This window comes from Homo sapiens, chromosome 3 (genome assembly GCF_000001405.40).
Source record: "Homo sapiens chromosome 3, GRCh38.p14 Primary Assembly".
NCBI classification, from domain to species: domain Eukaryota; kingdom Metazoa; phylum Chordata; class Mammalia; order Primates; family Hominidae; genus Homo; species Homo sapiens.
Genome location: NC_000003.12, coordinates 125930480 through 125947502, shown reverse-complemented (window position 1 = coordinate 125947502; position 17023 = coordinate 125930480). Strand labels below are relative to the sequence as shown.

Below are 17023 nucleotides of genomic sequence, written 5' to 3'. Positions count from 1 at the left end.
GCATAGTAAGAAATCTTTGCCTGCCTCAAAATTGCAAAGCTTTTCTTCTATGTTTTCTTCTAGAAATAGTTTTAGATTTTTACATCACTTGTGCTTATTCTTAACTTCCTCATTTGGTCTCTTGGATCCTTGGGTCCGTGGAGCTATTCTGGAAGGGTTACTAGTATCTCTTTTTGCTTGTAATGGGAGCAAACCTTAGGACCTAACTGGAGTCCTTTGATTACATCATCAGCCATTTGGGCTTGCAATCACATAAACATACTGAAGAAAATTCCACTAGGAGAGTGTTCTCTCCTACTTAGGTACTATAATAGAGAATAAGACTAGTTATCCTTTTGGGAGCCTAAATTGGATTTATATCCCTCTGAAGAAAAGTAGGTGGAGTGCCAGGAGCTGATTTGGCTAAATGAAGAGGGAAGGTGTTCTTGCTGAAATGCCTGGGGAGAAGAGGGGGATCAGGAGGCAACAAGGTGTCTGTCCCGGATATTTATGATGAGCCAAATTCTAGCAAGTCAAGCAGAAACTGAAGTATGTGATTTCATAACCGATGTTGTGAGACAGAAGAGCACAAAGGTGCTGCATTGGCACCTGGAGGGAAAGTGTCCTAAGGGGGAGGAATAAGACACTTTTCCCCACTTCATGTAGACTCAGCATGATTTTAGCCAGAAAACACTCTGGGAAGTCTAGGGCCACTTTGGCACCATGGGAGTTTGCCCCTCTGGTTGCTCCAAGAACACAGATATTAATGTAGCACAGATATTAATATTAATATTAATTAGCACAGATATAAATGTAGTCACAGAAAGAAAAAGAGGTGAAAAAGAGACAGGTTCTTCAGTGCATGAGAGACTCCCTTTGGGATCTCTCAGAAATGTGGAAGCAGAGGCTATAGCACAAGCCTGGGTTATTGCTAGTAGCAAGACAGAAAATAAGGCTTGGGTAAGCTGTAGTTATAGTTACAATGGAAATGACTGGCCCAAGAGAGTGCTACAGATTACATAGCAGCCACTAAGAAAAAGGACAGGCAGAAGGGGTAGGCAAGACATGTTCTCTGGCTGTTGCAGCCACCAAAAAGCCAGGATACAAAGGCAGGGAGTTATCTGAACTGCCTTCCTGGAGGGTCATGCATTTAGGATCTGACTCATTGACTCTTTTCCTTAATTTTGCTCTGTACATTTCTCTAAGAGGGCTAACCAGTGTCAAGGTTTGATAATATCTGAAATGGTATTCTGGTGCCAAAGTATCATCTCACAAATTATTTAGAAATTGCAAAAGAGAAAATGTACTTTATAATCCAGATATCTGGCAGTTATCCACGTGATCAAATTTAGCATCAGTGACAGTAGGACAACTAGATATTATATACCTCTTGCTGTAATATATTATGAAGTACACAACATCAACTATGAAGGTTTTTTTTTTTGAGATAGGGTTTTGCTCTGTCACCCAGTTTAGAGGGCAGCTGTGCAAAGCTCACTGCAGCTTTGACCTCCCAGTCTCAAGTGATCCTCCCACCTCAGCCTCCCTAGTAGCTGGGACTACAGATGTGTGCCACCATACCTGGCTAATTTTATACATATTTTTTGTGGAGATGTTGTTTCACCATGTTGCACAGGCTGGTCTCGAACTCCTGTGGGAGTTCTGCCTGAAAGTGCTGGGATTATAGGCGTGAGCCACTGTGTCCAAACTATGAAGTATTCTTGCCAAAATAGATTAACCTAAATCTAATCAAGCTTCTAGGTCAGAAGTGTCCAATAGCAATATAATGTCAGCTGCAGCTACATGTAATTTCAAATTTTCTGGTTGCCACCAAAAGCACAAAAAGAAAAAATAGATAAATTGGACTACATAAAGATTAAATACTTCCGTGCATCAAAGGACACAATCAACACAGAGAAAAGGCAAACCACTGAAGGGGAGAAAATATTTGCAAATTGATATTCATAATATGCGAAGAATCCTTACAACTGAACAACTACAAAATAATTAACAGATTGAAAAATGGGGAAAGGAGTTGAATAGACATTTCTCCAAAGAAGATGTACAACTGGTCAATAAACACACAAAAAGACTAATTATGAGGGAAATGCAAATTAAAACCACAATGAGATCAAACACATTAAGTTGGCTATTATAAAAAAAAAAAAAAAAAAAAAAGAAAGTGCCAGGCACAATGATGCTGTAGTCCCAGCACTCAAGAGGCTGAGGTGGGAGAATTTCTTGAGACCAGGAGTTAGAGGCTGCAGTGCACTAAGTGTGAATAGCCACTGCACTCCAACATGTGCAACACAGCAAGACCCCATCCCTAAAATAAAATAAGATAAAATATAAGGCAACAAAAAATAACAAGTATTGGTAAGGATGTGGAGAAATTGGAACCCTCGTGCATTGCTGGTGGGTGTGTAAAAAGGTATGGCTGCTGTGAAAAATGGGATGGCTAATCCTCAAAAAATTAACCACAGAATTACTATATGATCCAGCAACCCCACTTCTGCATATACACTCAAAAGAAGTAGAATCAAAGACTCAAACAGGTATTTGTACCCCCCGTTCATAGCAGCATTATTTACAATAGCCAAAAAGTAGAAGCAATAAAAGTGTTCATCAATGTATGAATGGATAAACAAAATGCGGCATATACATGCAGTGGGATATCATTCAGCTTTAAAAAGGGAGGAAATTCTAACACATGCCACAACATGGATAAACCTAGAAGACATTGTGCTAAGTGAAATAAGTCAGTCACAAAAGCACAAATACGGTGTGATTCTATTTACATGAAGTACCAGAGTTGTCAAATGTATAGAGACAGAAAGTAGAATGGTCGTTGCCAGGGGCTGAGGAGTTAGTATTTTACTGGATGCAGTTTCAGTGGGGTAGATAAAAAAGTTCTGGAGGTGGATGGTGGTGATGGTTACACAACAATCTGACTGTACTTAATGCCACTGAAGTGTACATTTAAAAATGGTTAAAATGGTACGTTTTATGTTATGTGTATTTTGGCACAATGAAAACAGCTATAAAAGGCATTCTTGAAACAACTGGGGATATCTGATATTCTGGAATTATTATTACTTTTCTTAGGTGTAATAAAAGTATTGTGGTTATATACATTATATAAAAAGAGGATAATGTCCTTATTCTTAGGAGATGCTTTCTGAACTATTTGGGGATAAAGTGCTCTGTAATATCTGCTCTGTGAAGACAGACCTTAGGGAGGCTTTTCCTCTTTATTATACTTCAGGCACCATACTTGGCTACCATACTCATCACATGACCCAGCAATTGCCTGGACTTTGCAGGCTCCAGATAGTCTTCCCACATGTTAATCCTCACAACAACCCCAAAGATAGGTCTTATAGATCCCTATTTAGTACGTAGGGAAACGAAAGTTCCGGTGTTTTCCCAGGATCACTTGGTGGTACGTCCCTGCAGGCCAACTGGAACTTGAAGCAAGTGACACAAGCTGGAGACTCTTATTTTCTCTACAGGACTGAAGTTTCAGTAAAGAGTCAGTTAACACAGTGGATTTTTCCAAGACTTTGGGGTTTGAAAGGTCACTGGGACAGGCCAGAAAAGAGGAAGCAGAAAACATATCAATTCTTAGAGTGTGATATGTGAGATTCTTCCAAATGCTCTGTGGTCTGGGTCTATTGCCCCACAGAAGGTAGATGGCATCCTGGATAAGATCAGGTCTTCCAAAGCAGACTCGGGGTTGGAATTTTTGCTCCATCATTTACCAGCCGTGCTACTTGGGGTAAATTACTTAAACAGTCTGAACCTTAGCTTCCTCATCTGTAAAACAGAAATAATAATAATATTTCTCATGGGGCTGCTGTGGGGATAAAATTAGATAATGTACCCAAAGCTCTTCACACAGAAAAGCCTTCCCCTGCTGGATCTCTCATGTACCCCCTGGATTTTCTAGGAGAGTGTGGCTTCTCCAGCAGCTTCTCAAACAGCTGTTGAGAATCACTGTTTGTAATGAGAAATATTATGAATGTGGAGCCAGAAAAAGTCTGACAGCCTTTGTAGCAGGGGGATGAGGAGGAGGTGGTTGTGTGTGTCCTCAGCTCAGTGGTAGGTGCTGGGCATGTGGTAGGAATGAGAAAGTAAAAGTAGCTATTATTAGTAGAATAGTATCTATAACTTTTATTTTTTGGCATAAATTAACAATTTAACAAAAGCCAGACATTATTTTTGTTGGTGCTTTACTAGAAACATTGCTGTTTTCTAATGACTTCTGGTAGTATTTCATTATTATTTTCTCTTTTTGGTTTTATTTTGTGTAAAAGGACTAAGTGAGATGGGTGTTTGCAATTTTTTTCTTTCCAACTGACTAGCTAGTCAATGCTCTTTTGGACCCCAGCCCACCCCCCTGAAAAAAAGGAAAAAGAACAAATTGAGAACTTATGAAACCACAACCCAGAAACCTGAATGTTTTTCATTTTAACTTTTCTTGGAAAAATTTGATGAAAAGCCTGTGCTGTGGTTTTAAACGGCATTGGGATGTCCATCTCCTGTCCCTATTCCCAACCCCCTAAACGTGATTTATATTGCCCTATTTTAAGCTAGTGCAGATTTATGAGACTTTAAACACCATGGATGGAGTTACTGGAGGTTTAAAGGGATTAAGCAGCACCTGGAGGTGTATAAGTTGTTTAAAAGATTTATCAGCATTTCCATGTTAAAATACACTTCTCAAGGATTCTCATATCCTGGATATGAATCTATTTTGGGCAGAGGAGTAAATTTTTAGGATGTCTCATAAATGGAGAAAAAAATCATCCCTCTATCGCTTCTTGCTTTGTTTTTTGTTTTTTTTTATTTTTATTTTTACTTTTTATTATACTTTAAGTTTTACGGTACATGTGCACATTGTGCAGGTTAGTTACATATGTATACATGTGCCATGCTGGTGCGCTGCACCCACTAACTCGTCATCTAGCATTAGGTATATCTCCCAATGCTATCCCTCCCCCCTTCTCCCACCCCACCACAGTCCCCAGAGTGTGATATTCCCCTTCCTGTGTCCATGTGATCTCATTGTTCAATTCCCACCTATGAGTGAGAATATGCAGTGTTTGGTTTTTTGTTCTTGCGATAGTTTACTGAGAATGATGATTTCCAATTTCATCCATGTCCCTACAAAGGACATGAACTCATCATTTTTTATGGCTGCATAGTATTCCATGGTGTATATGTGCCACATTTTCTTAATCCAGTCTATCATTGTTGGACATTTGGGTTGGTTCCAAGTCTTTGCTATTGTGAATAATGCCGCAATAAACATACGTGTGCATGTGTCTTTATAGCAGCATGATTTATAGTCCTTTGGGTATATACCCAGTAATGGGATGGCTGGGTCAAATGGTATTTCCAGTTCTAGATCCCTGAGGAATCGCCACACTGACTTCCACAATGGTTGAACTAGTTTACAGTCCCACCAACAGTGTAAAAGTGTTCCTATTTCTCCACATCCTCTCCAGCACCTGTTGTTTCCTGACTTTTTAATGATTGCCATTCTAACTGGTGTGAGATGGTATCTCATTGTGGTTTTGATTTGCATTTCTCTGATGGCCAGTGATGATGAGCATTTTTTTCATGTGTTTTTTGGCTGCATAAATGTCTTCTTTTGAGAAGTGTCTGTTCATGTCCTTCGCCCACTTTTTGATGGGGTTGTTTGTTTTTTTCTTGTAAATTTGTTTGAGTTCATTGTAGATTCTGGATATTAGCCCTTTGTCAGATGAGTAGGTTGTGAAAATTTTCTCCCATTTTGTAGGTTGCCTGTTCACTCTGATGGTAGTTTCTTTTGCTGTGCAGAAGCTCTTTAGTTTAATTAGATCCCATTTGTCAATTTTGTCTTTTGTTGCCATTGCTTTTGGTGTTTTGGACATGAAGTCCTTGCCCATGCCTATGTCCTGAATGGTATTGCCTAGGTTTTCTTCTAGGTTTTTTATGGTTTTAGGTCTAACGTTTAAGTCTTTAATCCATCTTGAATTGATTTTTGTATAAGGTGTAAGGAAGGGATCCAGTTTCAGCTTTCTACATATGGCTAGCCAGTTTTCCCAGCACCGTTTATTAAATAGGGAATCCTTTCCCCATTTCTTGTTTTTCTCAGGTTTGTCAAAGATCAGATAGTTGTAGATAGGCAGCGTTATTTCTGAGGGCTCTGTTCTGTTCCATTGATTGATATCTCTGTTTTGGTACCAGTACCATGCTGTTTTGGTTACTGTAGCCTTGTAGTATAGTTTGAAGTCAGGTAGTGTGATGCCTCCAGCTTTGTTCTTTTGGCTTAGGATTGCCTTGGCGATGCGGGCTCTTTTTTGGTTCCATATGAACTTTAAAGTAGTTTTTTCCAATTCTGTGAAGAAAGTCATTGGTAGCTTGATGGGGATGGCATTGAATCTGTAAATTACCTTGGGCAGTATGGCCATTTTCACGAATTGATTCTTCCTACCCATGAGCATGGAATGTTCTTCCATTTGTTTGTATCCTCTTTTATTTCCTTGAGCAGTGGTTTGTAGTTCTCCTTGAAGAGGTCCTTCACATCCCTTGTGAGTTGGATTCCTAGGTATTTTATTCTCTTTGAAGCAATTGTGAATGGGAGTTGACTCATGATTTGGCTCTCTGTTTGTCTGTTGTTGGTGTATAAGAATGCCTGTGATTTTTGTACATTGATTTTGTATCCTGAGACTTTGCTGAAGTTGCTTATCAGTTTAAGGAGATTTTGGGCTGAGACAATGGGGTTTTCTAGATATACAATCATGTCATCTGCAAACAGGGACAATTTGACTTCCTCTTTTCCTAATTGAATGCCCTTTGTTTCCTTCTCCTGCCTAATTGCCCTGGCCAGAACTTCCAACACTATGTTGAATAGGAGTCGTGAGAGAGGGCATCCCTGTCTTGTGCCAGTTTTCAAAGGGAATGCTTCTAGTTTTTGCCCATTTAGTATGATATTGGCTGTGGGTTTGTCATAGATAGCTCTTATTATTTTGAAATATGTCCCATCAATACCTAATTTATTGAGAGTTTTTAGCATGAAGGGTTGTTGAATTTTTTCAAAGGCCTTTTCTGCATCTATTGAGATAATCATGTGGTTTTTGTCTTTGGCTCTGTTTATATGCTGGATTACATTTATTGATTTGTGTATATTGAACCAGCCTTGCATCCCAGGGATGAAGCCCACTTGATCATGGTGGATAAGCTTTTTGATGTGCTGCTGGATTCGTTTTGCCCGTATTTTATTGAGGATTTTTGCATCAATGTTCATCAAGGATATTGGTCTAAAATTCTCTTTTTTGGTTGTGTCTCTGCCCGGCTTTGGTATCAGAATGATGCTGGCCTCATAAAATGAGTTAGGGAGGATTCCCTCTTTTTCTATTGATTGGAATAGTTTCAGAAGGAATGGTACCAGTTCCTCCTTGTACCTCTGGTATAATTCGGCTGTGAATCCATCTGGTCTTGGACTCTTTTTGGTTGGTAAACTATTGATTATTGCCACAATTTCAGCTCCTGTTATTGGTCTATTCAGAGATTCAACTTCTTCCTGGTTTAGTCTTGGGAGAGTGTATGTGTCTAGGAATTTATCCATTTCTTCTAGATTTTCTAGTTTATTTGCGTAGAGGTGTTTGTAGTATTCTCTGATGGTAGTTTGTATTTCTGTGGGATCAGTGGTGATATCCCCTTTATCATTTTTTATTGCGTCTATTTGATTCTTCTCTCTTTTTTTCTTTATTAGTCTTGCTAGCGTTCTATCAATTTTGTTGATCCTTTCAAAAAACCAGCTCCTGGATTCATTAATTTTTTGAAGGGTTTTTTGTGTCTCTATGTCCTTCAGTTCTGCTCTGATTTTAGTGATTTCTTGCCTTCTGCTAGCTTTTGAATGTGTTTGCTCTTGCTTTTCTAGTTCTTTTAATTGTGATGTTAGGGTGTCAATTTTGGATCTTTCCTGCTTTCTCTTGTGGGCATTTAGTGCTATAAATTTCCCTCTACACACTGCTTTGAATGCATCCCAGAGATTCTGGTATGTTGTGTCTTTGTTCTCGTTGGTTTCAAAGAACATCTTTATTTCTGCCTTCATTTCATTATGTATCCAGTAGTCATTCAGGAGCAGGTTGTTCAGTTTCCATGTAGTTGAGCGGTTTTGAGTGAGATTCTTAATTCTGAGTTCTAGTTTGATTGCACTGTGGTCTGAGAGATAGTTTGTTATAATCTCTGTTCTTTTACATTTGCTGAGGAGAGCTTTACTTCCAAGTATGTGGTCAATTTTGGAATAGGTGTGGTGTGGTGCTGAAAAAAATGTATATTCTGTTGATTTGGGGTGGAGAGTTCTGTAGATGTCTATTAGGTCCTCTTGGTGCAGAGCTGAGTTCAATTCCTGGGTATCCTTGTTGACTTTCTGTCTCGTTGATCTGTCTAATGTTGACAGTGGGGTGTTAAAGTCTCCCATTATTAATGTGTGGGAGTCTAAGTCTCTCTGTAGGTCACTCAGGACTTGCTTTATGAATCTTGGTGCTCCTGTATTGGGTGCATATATATTTAGGATAGTTAGCTCTTCTTGTTGAATTGATCCCTTTACCATTATGTAATGGCCTTCTTTGTCTCTTTTGATCTTTGTTGGTTTAAAGTCTGTTTTATCAGAGACTAGGATTGCAACCCCTGCCTTTTTTTTGTTTTCCATTTGCTTGGTAGATCTTCCTCCATCCTTTTATTTTGAGCCTATGTGTGTCTCTGCACGTGAGATGGGTTTCCTGAATACAGCACACTGATGGGTCTTGACTCTTTATCCAATTTGCCAGTCTGTGTCTTTTAATTGGAGCGTTTAGTCCATTTACATTTAAAGTTAATATTGTTATGTGTGAATTTGGTCCTGTCATTATGATGTTAGCTGGTTATTTTGCTCGTTAATTGATGCAGTTTCTTCCTAGTCTCGATGGTCTTTACATTTTGGCATGATTTTGCAGCGGCTGGTACTGGTTGTTCCTTTCCATGTTTAGTGTTTCCTTCAGGAGCTCTTTTAGGGCAGGCCTGGTGGTGACAAAATCTCTCAGCATTTGCTTGTCTCTAAAGTATTTTATTTCTCCTTCACTTATGAAGCTTAGTTTGGCTGGATATGAAATTCTGGGTTGAAAATTCTTTTCTTTAAGAATGTTGAATATTGGCCCCCACTCTCTTCTGGCTTGTAGGATTTCTGCCAAGAGATCTGCTGTTAGTCTGATGGGCTTCCCTTTGAGGGTAACCCGACCTTTCTCTCTGGCTGCCCTTAACATTTTTTCCTTCATTTCAACTTTAGTGAATCTGACAATTATGTGTCTTGGAGTTGCTCTTCTCGAGGAGTATCTTTGTGGCATTCTCTGTATTTCCTGAATCTGAACCTTGGCCTGCCTTGCTAGATTGGGGAAGTTCTCCTGGATAATATCCTGCAGAGTGTTTTCCAACTTGGTTCCATTCTCCCCATCACTTTCAGGTACACCAATCAGATGTAGATTTGGTCTTTTCACATAGTCCCATATTTCTTGGAGGCTTTGCTCATTTCTTTTTATTCTTTTTTCTCTAAACTTCCCTTCTCACTTCATTTCATTCATTTCATCTTCCATTGCTGATACCATTTCTTCCAGTTGACTGCATCGGCTCCTGAGGCTTCTGCATTCTTCACGTAGTTCTCGAGCCTTGGTTTTCAGCTCCATCAGCTCCTTTAAGCACTTCTCTGTATTGGTTATTCTAGTTATACATTCTTCTAAATTTTTTTCAAAGTTTTCAACTTCTTTGCCTTTGGTTTGAATGTCCTCCTGTAGCTCAGAGTAATTTGATCGTCTGAAGCCTTCTTCTCTCAGCTTGTCAAAGTCATTCTCCATCCAGCTTTGTTCCATTGCTGGTGAGGAACTGCGTTCCTTTGGAGGAGGAGAGGTGCTCTGCATTTTAGAGTTTCCCATTTTTCTGTTCTGTTTTTTCCCCATCTTTGTGGTTTTATCTACTTTTGGTCTTTGATGATGGTGATGTACAGATGGGTTTTTGGTGTGGATGTCCTTTCTGTTTGTTAGTTTTCCTTCTAACAGACAGGATCCTCAGCTGCACGTCTGTTGGAATACCCTGCCGTGTGAGGTGTCAGTGTGCCCCTGCTGGGGGGTGCCTCCCAGTTAGGCTGCTCAGGGGTCAGGGGTCAGGGACCCACTTGAGGAGGCAGTCTGCCCATTCTCAGATCTCCAGCTGCGTGCTGGGAGAACCACTGCTCTCTTCAAAGCTGTCAGACAGGGACATTTAAGTCTGCAGAGGTTACTGCTGTCTTTTTGTTTGTCTGTGCCCTGCCCCCAGAGGTGGAGCCTACAGAGGCAGGCAGGCCTCCTTGAGCTGTGGTGGGCTCCACCCAGTTTGAGCTTCCCAGCTGCTTTGTTTACCTAAGCAAGCCTGGGCAATGTCGGGTGCCCCTCCCCCAGCCTCACTGCCGCCTTGCAATTTGATCTCAGACTGCTGTGCTAGCAATCAGTGAGACTCCGTGGGCGTAGGACCCTCTGAGCCAGGTGCGGGATATAATCTTGTGGTGCGCCGTTTTTTAAGCCGGTCCGAAAAGCGCAATATTCGGGTGGGAGTGACCCGATTTCCCAGGTGAGTCCGTCACCCCTTTCTTTGACTCGGAAAGGGAACTCCCTGACCCCTTGCGCTTCCCAAGTGAGGCAATGCCTCTCCCTGCTTCGGGTTGCGCACAGTGCACGCACCCACTGACCTGCGCCCACTGTCTGGCACTCCCTAGTGAGATGAACCCGGTACCTCAGATGGAAATGCAGAAATCACCCATCTTCTGCGTCGCTCACGCTGGGAGCTGTAGACCGGAGCTGTTCCTATTCGGCCATCTTGGCTCCTCTCCTTGCTTTGTTTTTTGGGCTGTGCCTGTGCCCCCTCACCTCTCTGTCTTGCATGTCTAGCTAGTTCTGTTTCTGCGGTTTTCCTTCTCTCTGTTCCTGAGCGGTTGATCTCTTAGTGTTTCTCTGTGTTCACAAACTCAGCCTTTGACCTAGGAACCTAACAGCCAGAGGGAGCCTGAAGCTTTCTTGCCTGCCCTTGGCTCCTTGTGGTCCAGGGAGGGCTGCAGTGGGTGGGAATGCCTGACACAGGGTGACTAGTCTCTGTGTTTACACCAGGGGGAGCAATGACTCCGTGGCTGAGAGGGGCTGGCTAGAGTCTGGAGTTTCCAAATGTCCATTCAAGGCAAAACACAATTCCTAGGTAGTTAAATTTAGGAGACTCTGTATTGAATGACCTTGAAAATAGGTTCAGGGCACAACATGGGCACACCGCTTTGTCATATTCTACAAATACTGGGGAGAGCCAACATTCTTCTCATTGCCAATAATTATGCTCATCAGCCTCCACGTCTTGCCTCTCACGTTTCTTCCATGTCCCAGCTCTGCCCACCGTGTTAAATCAGTGTGGATGTAGGGAACATGAACACATTTTAATATCAGCCTAAACCAGACATCACTGGGAAGGAGATTGGAGAAACTAAAACCCTAGAAAAGACAAATCTAATCTATAGTGACAGAAAGCAGACTGGTGGTTGCTTGGGGCCAAGGTAGGGCCAGATTGGCTGAGATGGCACAAGAAAACTTTTTGTGATGTTGAAAGTATGCTATGCCTTGATTGTGGTGATGGTCAGACAGTTATATAAAGCTGTAAACACTCACTAAAATGTACAATGAAAATGGGCATAAACTATGCCTTGGTTTTTAAATGTCTCTGTTGTACATTCACACCAGCCTTTACCTCCGTTAGCACAGACAATAGGAAGCTGTGTGTGAGTCTTAGAATGCTCCCCAATCCAGGGATGGTTGTTCAACCAGCCTATGCCGTGTATCCATAGAGGGCACGGATAATCCAAAGCAGCAGATAAAACACCTAATTAGTTCTAATTGACTCTGGACTTTTTCTGTGCATTTACATTCCCTGAGTACAACCTGACTGACAGGAGCGGGGAGAGTAGGCAGCCAAGAAATGTGGCAGGGGAGGCCAGATTAAACAATTACAAGGGAGGGACAACAAAAGGGTGACTGACCACGCAGATGATAAAGAATTGTTGACTTTGTAATGAGAACCGCACATTGCGCAAAGCAATTGGTGGGGTGGAGCAGATGTGCATTAGAAACGAAACCAACCACCCGGAATGGTCATGGTCTCTGGATAACAGTAGCTTCATCAACTCCGTCTTTTCCACATGTCTAAAATTTTGATATTACTTAAGTCAGGCACACTGCTCTATTCATTCTGACATCTGAATATCCATTTTAAAGTGGGCTAGGCTCACCCAGAGGATGATACAACTAGATTAAGAAAATGAAATGAAGGATGAAAACTCCTGGTTCGTGCTTTCGCCACATCCACAGGAGCAACAGACTAAGACATTCCTCCACACAATAACAGACCCAGGCAGTGCAGAGCCATGTGTGTCTTATCTGTCCTGTTGTCCACAGTCTGGTTTTATCTTAGACCTAGCCTGGTGCAATCCATGTTGTGTATTGGCACTCCACTTAAGTTTCCTGTTTGTAAAAAGCCCCTTTCATTCGGTGATTCCTCAGGGCTTTAGGGGAACTTTCTGGAAACCAGGAAGAAGGAAATAAAGGTTGTTTTACTGAGGATGGGTGACGTTGGGCGCGGGACCCAAATGAGTGGTTTGAGCAGAAAGTAGCCTCCACGCTGGACTAATGCTTGGCAACATAATGGGAAAATTTGGGGAAGCCGGGAGAGGAGGGGGCAGAGTTTCTTTCCCAACCAGCCAGGGGGTCCAGGCAGTTTTGGTCCTAGGACGTCTCCCTGTGCATTCCCAAGTGATTGCAAGGCTTCTTCTTGTCATCGTCTGAGACTTGGATTCCCCAAGCGTCCTTCTTTTCCTGGAGCCTCTGAGTCCTCTATTCCTGAGGCCTTTCTTCAGCCCTCCCAATAGCCCTGCCATGATTTCATTGCAGGGCTGTGACCATCTATGACAAGCCGGCATCTTTCTTTAAAGAGACACCTCTGGACCTGCTGCACCGGCTCTTCATGAAGCTGGGTGGCACTCACTCTCTGTTCAGGGCCTGGTAGGCCTCCCCTCCTCAGCTGCCTTCTCTCCTGCTCGCCACTGCCCTGGCCTCTCCCCTTCTCACTGCAGACCTGGGAACCCACTCATCCAGGGGTTGGCAAACTAAGGCTACAGGCCAGTCTCCTGCTTTTGTAAATCAAGTTTCACTGGGACACAACACACTCATTGCCTTCTGAGTTGTCTACAGCCGCCTTTGAGCTACAATAGCAGAATCACGTTTTGCAACAGAGAACCTGTGGCCTGCAAAGCCTGAAGTATTTACTCTCTGGCCCTTTAAGAAATGTTTGTGGACCCCTACGCTGTCTTACTCTCCTGCCAGTGGGTTCCCAGGCCTGTGGCAGATCTGTGGACCTGTGTGTCCCCTGGGGTGTCTCACGGGGCTAAAGAGGGGACCTTTGTGCAGGTCCACACACCCTAAGGTGGGCCCCTGGGTAAGCTGGGGTGGTGTGGGATGGCGTCCCTGCACGCTCATCTTGAGTCCAGGGGATGACAAGACAGTAAGTCCCGTGGAGAAAAGGAATGAGTCAGTCTTGTTTGCTGTTGTAACCTTAGCACCCAGCAACAATATTAGAGAAAGCAAGCCCAGGCCTCGGATGGCAGGGGTGGCCTGGTGCTGCTGATGTGGCCGGGCACCCCAACCTTTGGGAGCCTGCAGGCCTTGCCACGGCAGGAGATGCCCGTCCTGGGTCCTGGGCCTGCTCTGTGGCCTCTCACAGGCTTTTTTCCTGCTCTTTCAGCTCAGAACCTGAGGACGCAGCCATGGAGCGGTCGGCCTTCATGGAGCTGGATGCTGGGAGCAGGCTGGTGATGCATCTCCGCGAGTGGCCAGCCCTGCTGGTCAGCAGCACGGGCTGGACAGGTCTGCACGACCCCTGGAACACTTGGGGTTGGTGTGACGGGCACCTGGCCAACCTGTGTTCTCCTCACCCCTACCAGTCCTGCATGCCCCCACCCCACCACAGTCTCAATGAGAAGGGGAGGGCATGTGAGCTGGAAGAGGGGTGTCTAGAAACAGGCCCCTGATATTCAATTCTCTTCTCATAGAGGATGAAGACTTCTCCATCCTGCTGGCAGCTTTAGAAAGTAGATGTGTAGCTGCGGTGAGGAGCTCCGGGCTTGTCGGGGGCCACTGAGCTGTGAGCTGCTTGCCTGGCCTGCAGCATGTTGCTGTCCCCGGCCACTGGGTGGGGCAGCCTGGGGACAGCAGGGGTGGTGGAGGTGGGCCGCCCTGAATCCTCAGTTGGGTCATTGAGTGACCAGGCCCTCAGGCTGAAATGCCCCCTCCAGGAGAGTATCTCACAGAGGCTGGTGGCCTCCCCACCAGAGCAGTGCTCTTTCTCCACCTGACCAGGTGACTCTGGCTACTGTTTATTTAAAACGTTTTTTCTGAATGGGCATGGTGGCTCACACCTGTAATCCTAGAACTCTGGGAGCCCGCGGCAGGCAGATTACCTGAGGTCAGGAGTTCGAGGCCAACATGGCAAAACCTGTCTCTACTAAAAATACAAAAATTAGCTGGGTATGGTGGTGGGCGCCTGTAATCCCAGCTACTTGGGAGGCTGATGCACGGGAATTACTTGAACCCAGGAGGCAGAGGTTGCAGTGAGCTGAGATCACGCCACTGCATTCCAGCCTGGGTGACAGAGCAAGAGTCTGTCAGAAGAAAAAAAAAAAGAAATTCTATCAGAAATTCCATGTAGAATTGTTTCTTTTTTTAAACACAGAGTTTGAACAACTTACTCTTGATGGACACAACCTTCCTTCTCTTGTCTGTGTGATAACAGGTACCGCCTAGGACCCTGGGTGTCTGTTTGGTTGGGGGATGGTGGAGGGGGAGGGGCACACAGCCTTTACCCTGTGCTTCCCACGATCTTGTCTCCTTAATCTTCACTGCAGCTCTCTGCTATAGGGTCTTATACTGCTTGACATGGGGGAAACTGAGGCTCAGAGGGTTTCACAGCAGGGCAGGGAGCCCAGATTTGAATCTGTAGATACCAAGCTTTCTACTTTTTCAGTAGTTCCCAAGCATCTTTTTTTTTTGTTGTTGTTACGTCATTGGTGTCTTTTTTTCTTTTTTTCTTTTTTTTTGAGACAGAGTCTCTGTCGCCCAGGCTGGGGTGCAGTGGTGTGATCTTTGCTCACTGCAACCTCCGCCTCTCACATTCAAACAATTCTCATGCCTTAGCCTCCCGAGTAGCTGGGACTACAGGGGCCCACCACACTCAGCTAATTTTTGTATTTTTAGTAGAAACAGGGTTTCACCATGTTGGCCAGGCTGGTCTTGAACTCCTGACCTCAGGTGATCTGCCCGCCTTGGGCTCCCAAAATGCTGGGATTACATACGGGAGGTGAACCTGGGAGGTGGAGGTTGCAGTGAGCTGAGATTGTGCCACTGCACTCCAGCCTGGGTAACAGAGTGAGACTCTGTCTCAAAAGGAAACAAACCAAAACAACAACAACAAAAATAAATTGTGGTTAAGTAGAAAAAGTGTCAACTTACATTTTCAGATGTCCCAGCCAGGCTATGTGGCTGCTTGGCCAGCTTAAGCCACTTGTGCTTGGGGCTGTCGGGGGTCTTATCCGATTTTCACTCCCCTCGGGATGTTGCCTCACTGTGCTGGGAAGATTTGTGTTCCCAGGGCAGAGACCAGCGCTCTGACTGCACCCCTCTTGCCTAGCAGGGTCGGTGGACCTGGGTGTCTGTCTGCACATGTCCTCCAGTGGCCTGGACCTGCCCATGAAGGTGGTGGACATGTTCGGGTGCTGTTTGCCTGTGTGTGCCGTGAACTTCAAGTGGTAGGAGCAGAACCCGAATCTTTCTGGGGATAGCTTCACAGATCCACCGCTGAGGAGGAAACAGTGCAGAGCGAGCTGCCCACAGTGAGGCCCTGCCCCTCGGTCAGTCCAGCACACACTGGAGGCCACGAGGAGGAGCCCTGCGGTTACTGTGGCTGGGCTGAGCCTCACTGAAGTAGTTGCTTCCATTTAGAGCTCATGTTATATTTAGGTTGGTACAAAAGTAATCACGGTTTTTGCCATTAAAGGTGGCAATTACTTCTGCACCAACCTAGTATGAAAGAAAAGCATCCCAAATACTAGAACTCCACTCGGGGCTTTTGCTCCTAGAGTAGAATTGGCGGGAATTGCCTGCAGGCTTACATGGTTTTCTTTGTTTCTTTCTCTCCCACCATGTCCCTTTTGGCCAAGCTCACCTGGTGGGTTTGAATCAGTTAAACGATTGTCATGCTGTGGCCTCACTCCACCCAGCATAGATGGCTGTTTGGAAGGGCGGCGTTAGAGGAGATTCTAGAAGCAGTAGCCCCAGCACAAGCTGAGCCCTTGGCCCCTGCTCAGGAGCTGGCTCCTGGATGGGATTCAGGGATGTGAGCCCCTCATGTGAACTGAGCTCAGGAAATGTCGGGATCAAACCTGGTGCCCTAGAAAAGTCATCTTTTATGTGCTGAGCCAGTCCCCAGGGTGTTGTCTTTACTTGTTCCATGGCCATGGAATTAAGAAAAACATGCAAAAATAATTCTTCAGTCCTTGAAGAGCATCCAGCACAGAAGGTACAAACCCTCCTTAAGGCTCCCTCCTCAAATCAGTTTGTCCATTTTGATGTGCACCCCCCCAGGCCTTTATACCCTTCAGATGCCAAGTCTAAGAACCAGCTCCTGGAAACCACACCCCCTGTTCCAACCCCCAGACTGGCTTGAGCATGCGGTGGTGGGGGGAGCCCAGGTGGGCACCCCAGGGGTCTGGTGTCTTCTCCAGGCAGCTCTCAGGCTCCCTTGGTTCTCTCTGCAGTTTACATGAGCTGGTGAAACATGAAGAAAATGGCCTGGTCTTTGAGGACTCAGAGGAACTGGCAGCTCTGCAGGTAGCCACATCTGCCACCACGCCAGGGTGGGGAGGGTTCTGGAGACTGGCACTGAGCCACACTCCCTGATCCCTGCT

At 44.5% G+C, this 17023-nt stretch overlaps 1 pseudogene across 4 annotated transcripts in view, besides 3 other annotated features; it reads left to right on the top strand.

Annotated features, from left to right (window-relative positions):
• The window catches only part of ALG1L1P (ALG1 like 1, pseudogene), a 61266-nt pseudogene that overhangs the window by 43035 nt on the left and 1208 nt on the right, over positions 1 to 17023 (top strand). The window contains exons 1-6 of one of the 4 annotated variants that reach the window (NR_171194.1): positions 10324 to 10605; positions 12957 to 13067; positions 13807 to 13928; positions 14794 to 14853; positions 15751 to 15865; positions 16874 to 16946. The product of NR_171194.1 is annotated as an ALG1 like 1, pseudogene, transcript variant 1 (transcript). Of the gene's footprint in view, positions 1 to 10323; positions 10606 to 12956; positions 13068 to 13806; positions 13929 to 14793; positions 14854 to 15747; positions 15866 to 16873; positions 16947 to 17023 lie in introns of those variants that run through there. The other 3 variants (NR_171195.1, NR_171196.1, NR_171197.1) reach the window with 3 other exon arrangements.
• Positions 10502 to 11002: an enhancer, noted in NCBI's record as "H3K4me1 hESC enhancer chr3:125655344-125655844 (GRCh37/hg19 assembly coordinates)". NCBI's record gives its function as "activates a minimal SCP1, AML or CMV promoter by ChIP-STARR-seq in primed H9 embryonic stem cells {active_cell/tissue: H9 hESC(primed)}" and the evidence as "EXISTENCE:reporter gene assay evidence [ECO:0000049][PMID:30033119]".
• Positions 15311 to 15811: an enhancer, noted in NCBI's record as "H3K4me1 hESC enhancer chr3:125650535-125651035 (GRCh37/hg19 assembly coordinates)". NCBI's record gives its function as "activates a minimal SCP1, AML or CMV promoter by ChIP-STARR-seq in naive H9 embryonic stem cells {active_cell/tissue: H9 hESC(naive)}" and the evidence as "EXISTENCE:reporter gene assay evidence [ECO:0000049][PMID:30033119]".
• Positions 15812 to 16312: an enhancer, noted in NCBI's record as "H3K4me1 hESC enhancer chr3:125650034-125650534 (GRCh37/hg19 assembly coordinates)". NCBI's record gives its function as "activates a minimal SCP1, AML or CMV promoter by ChIP-STARR-seq in naive H9 embryonic stem cells {active_cell/tissue: H9 hESC(naive)}" and the evidence as "EXISTENCE:reporter gene assay evidence [ECO:0000049][PMID:30033119]".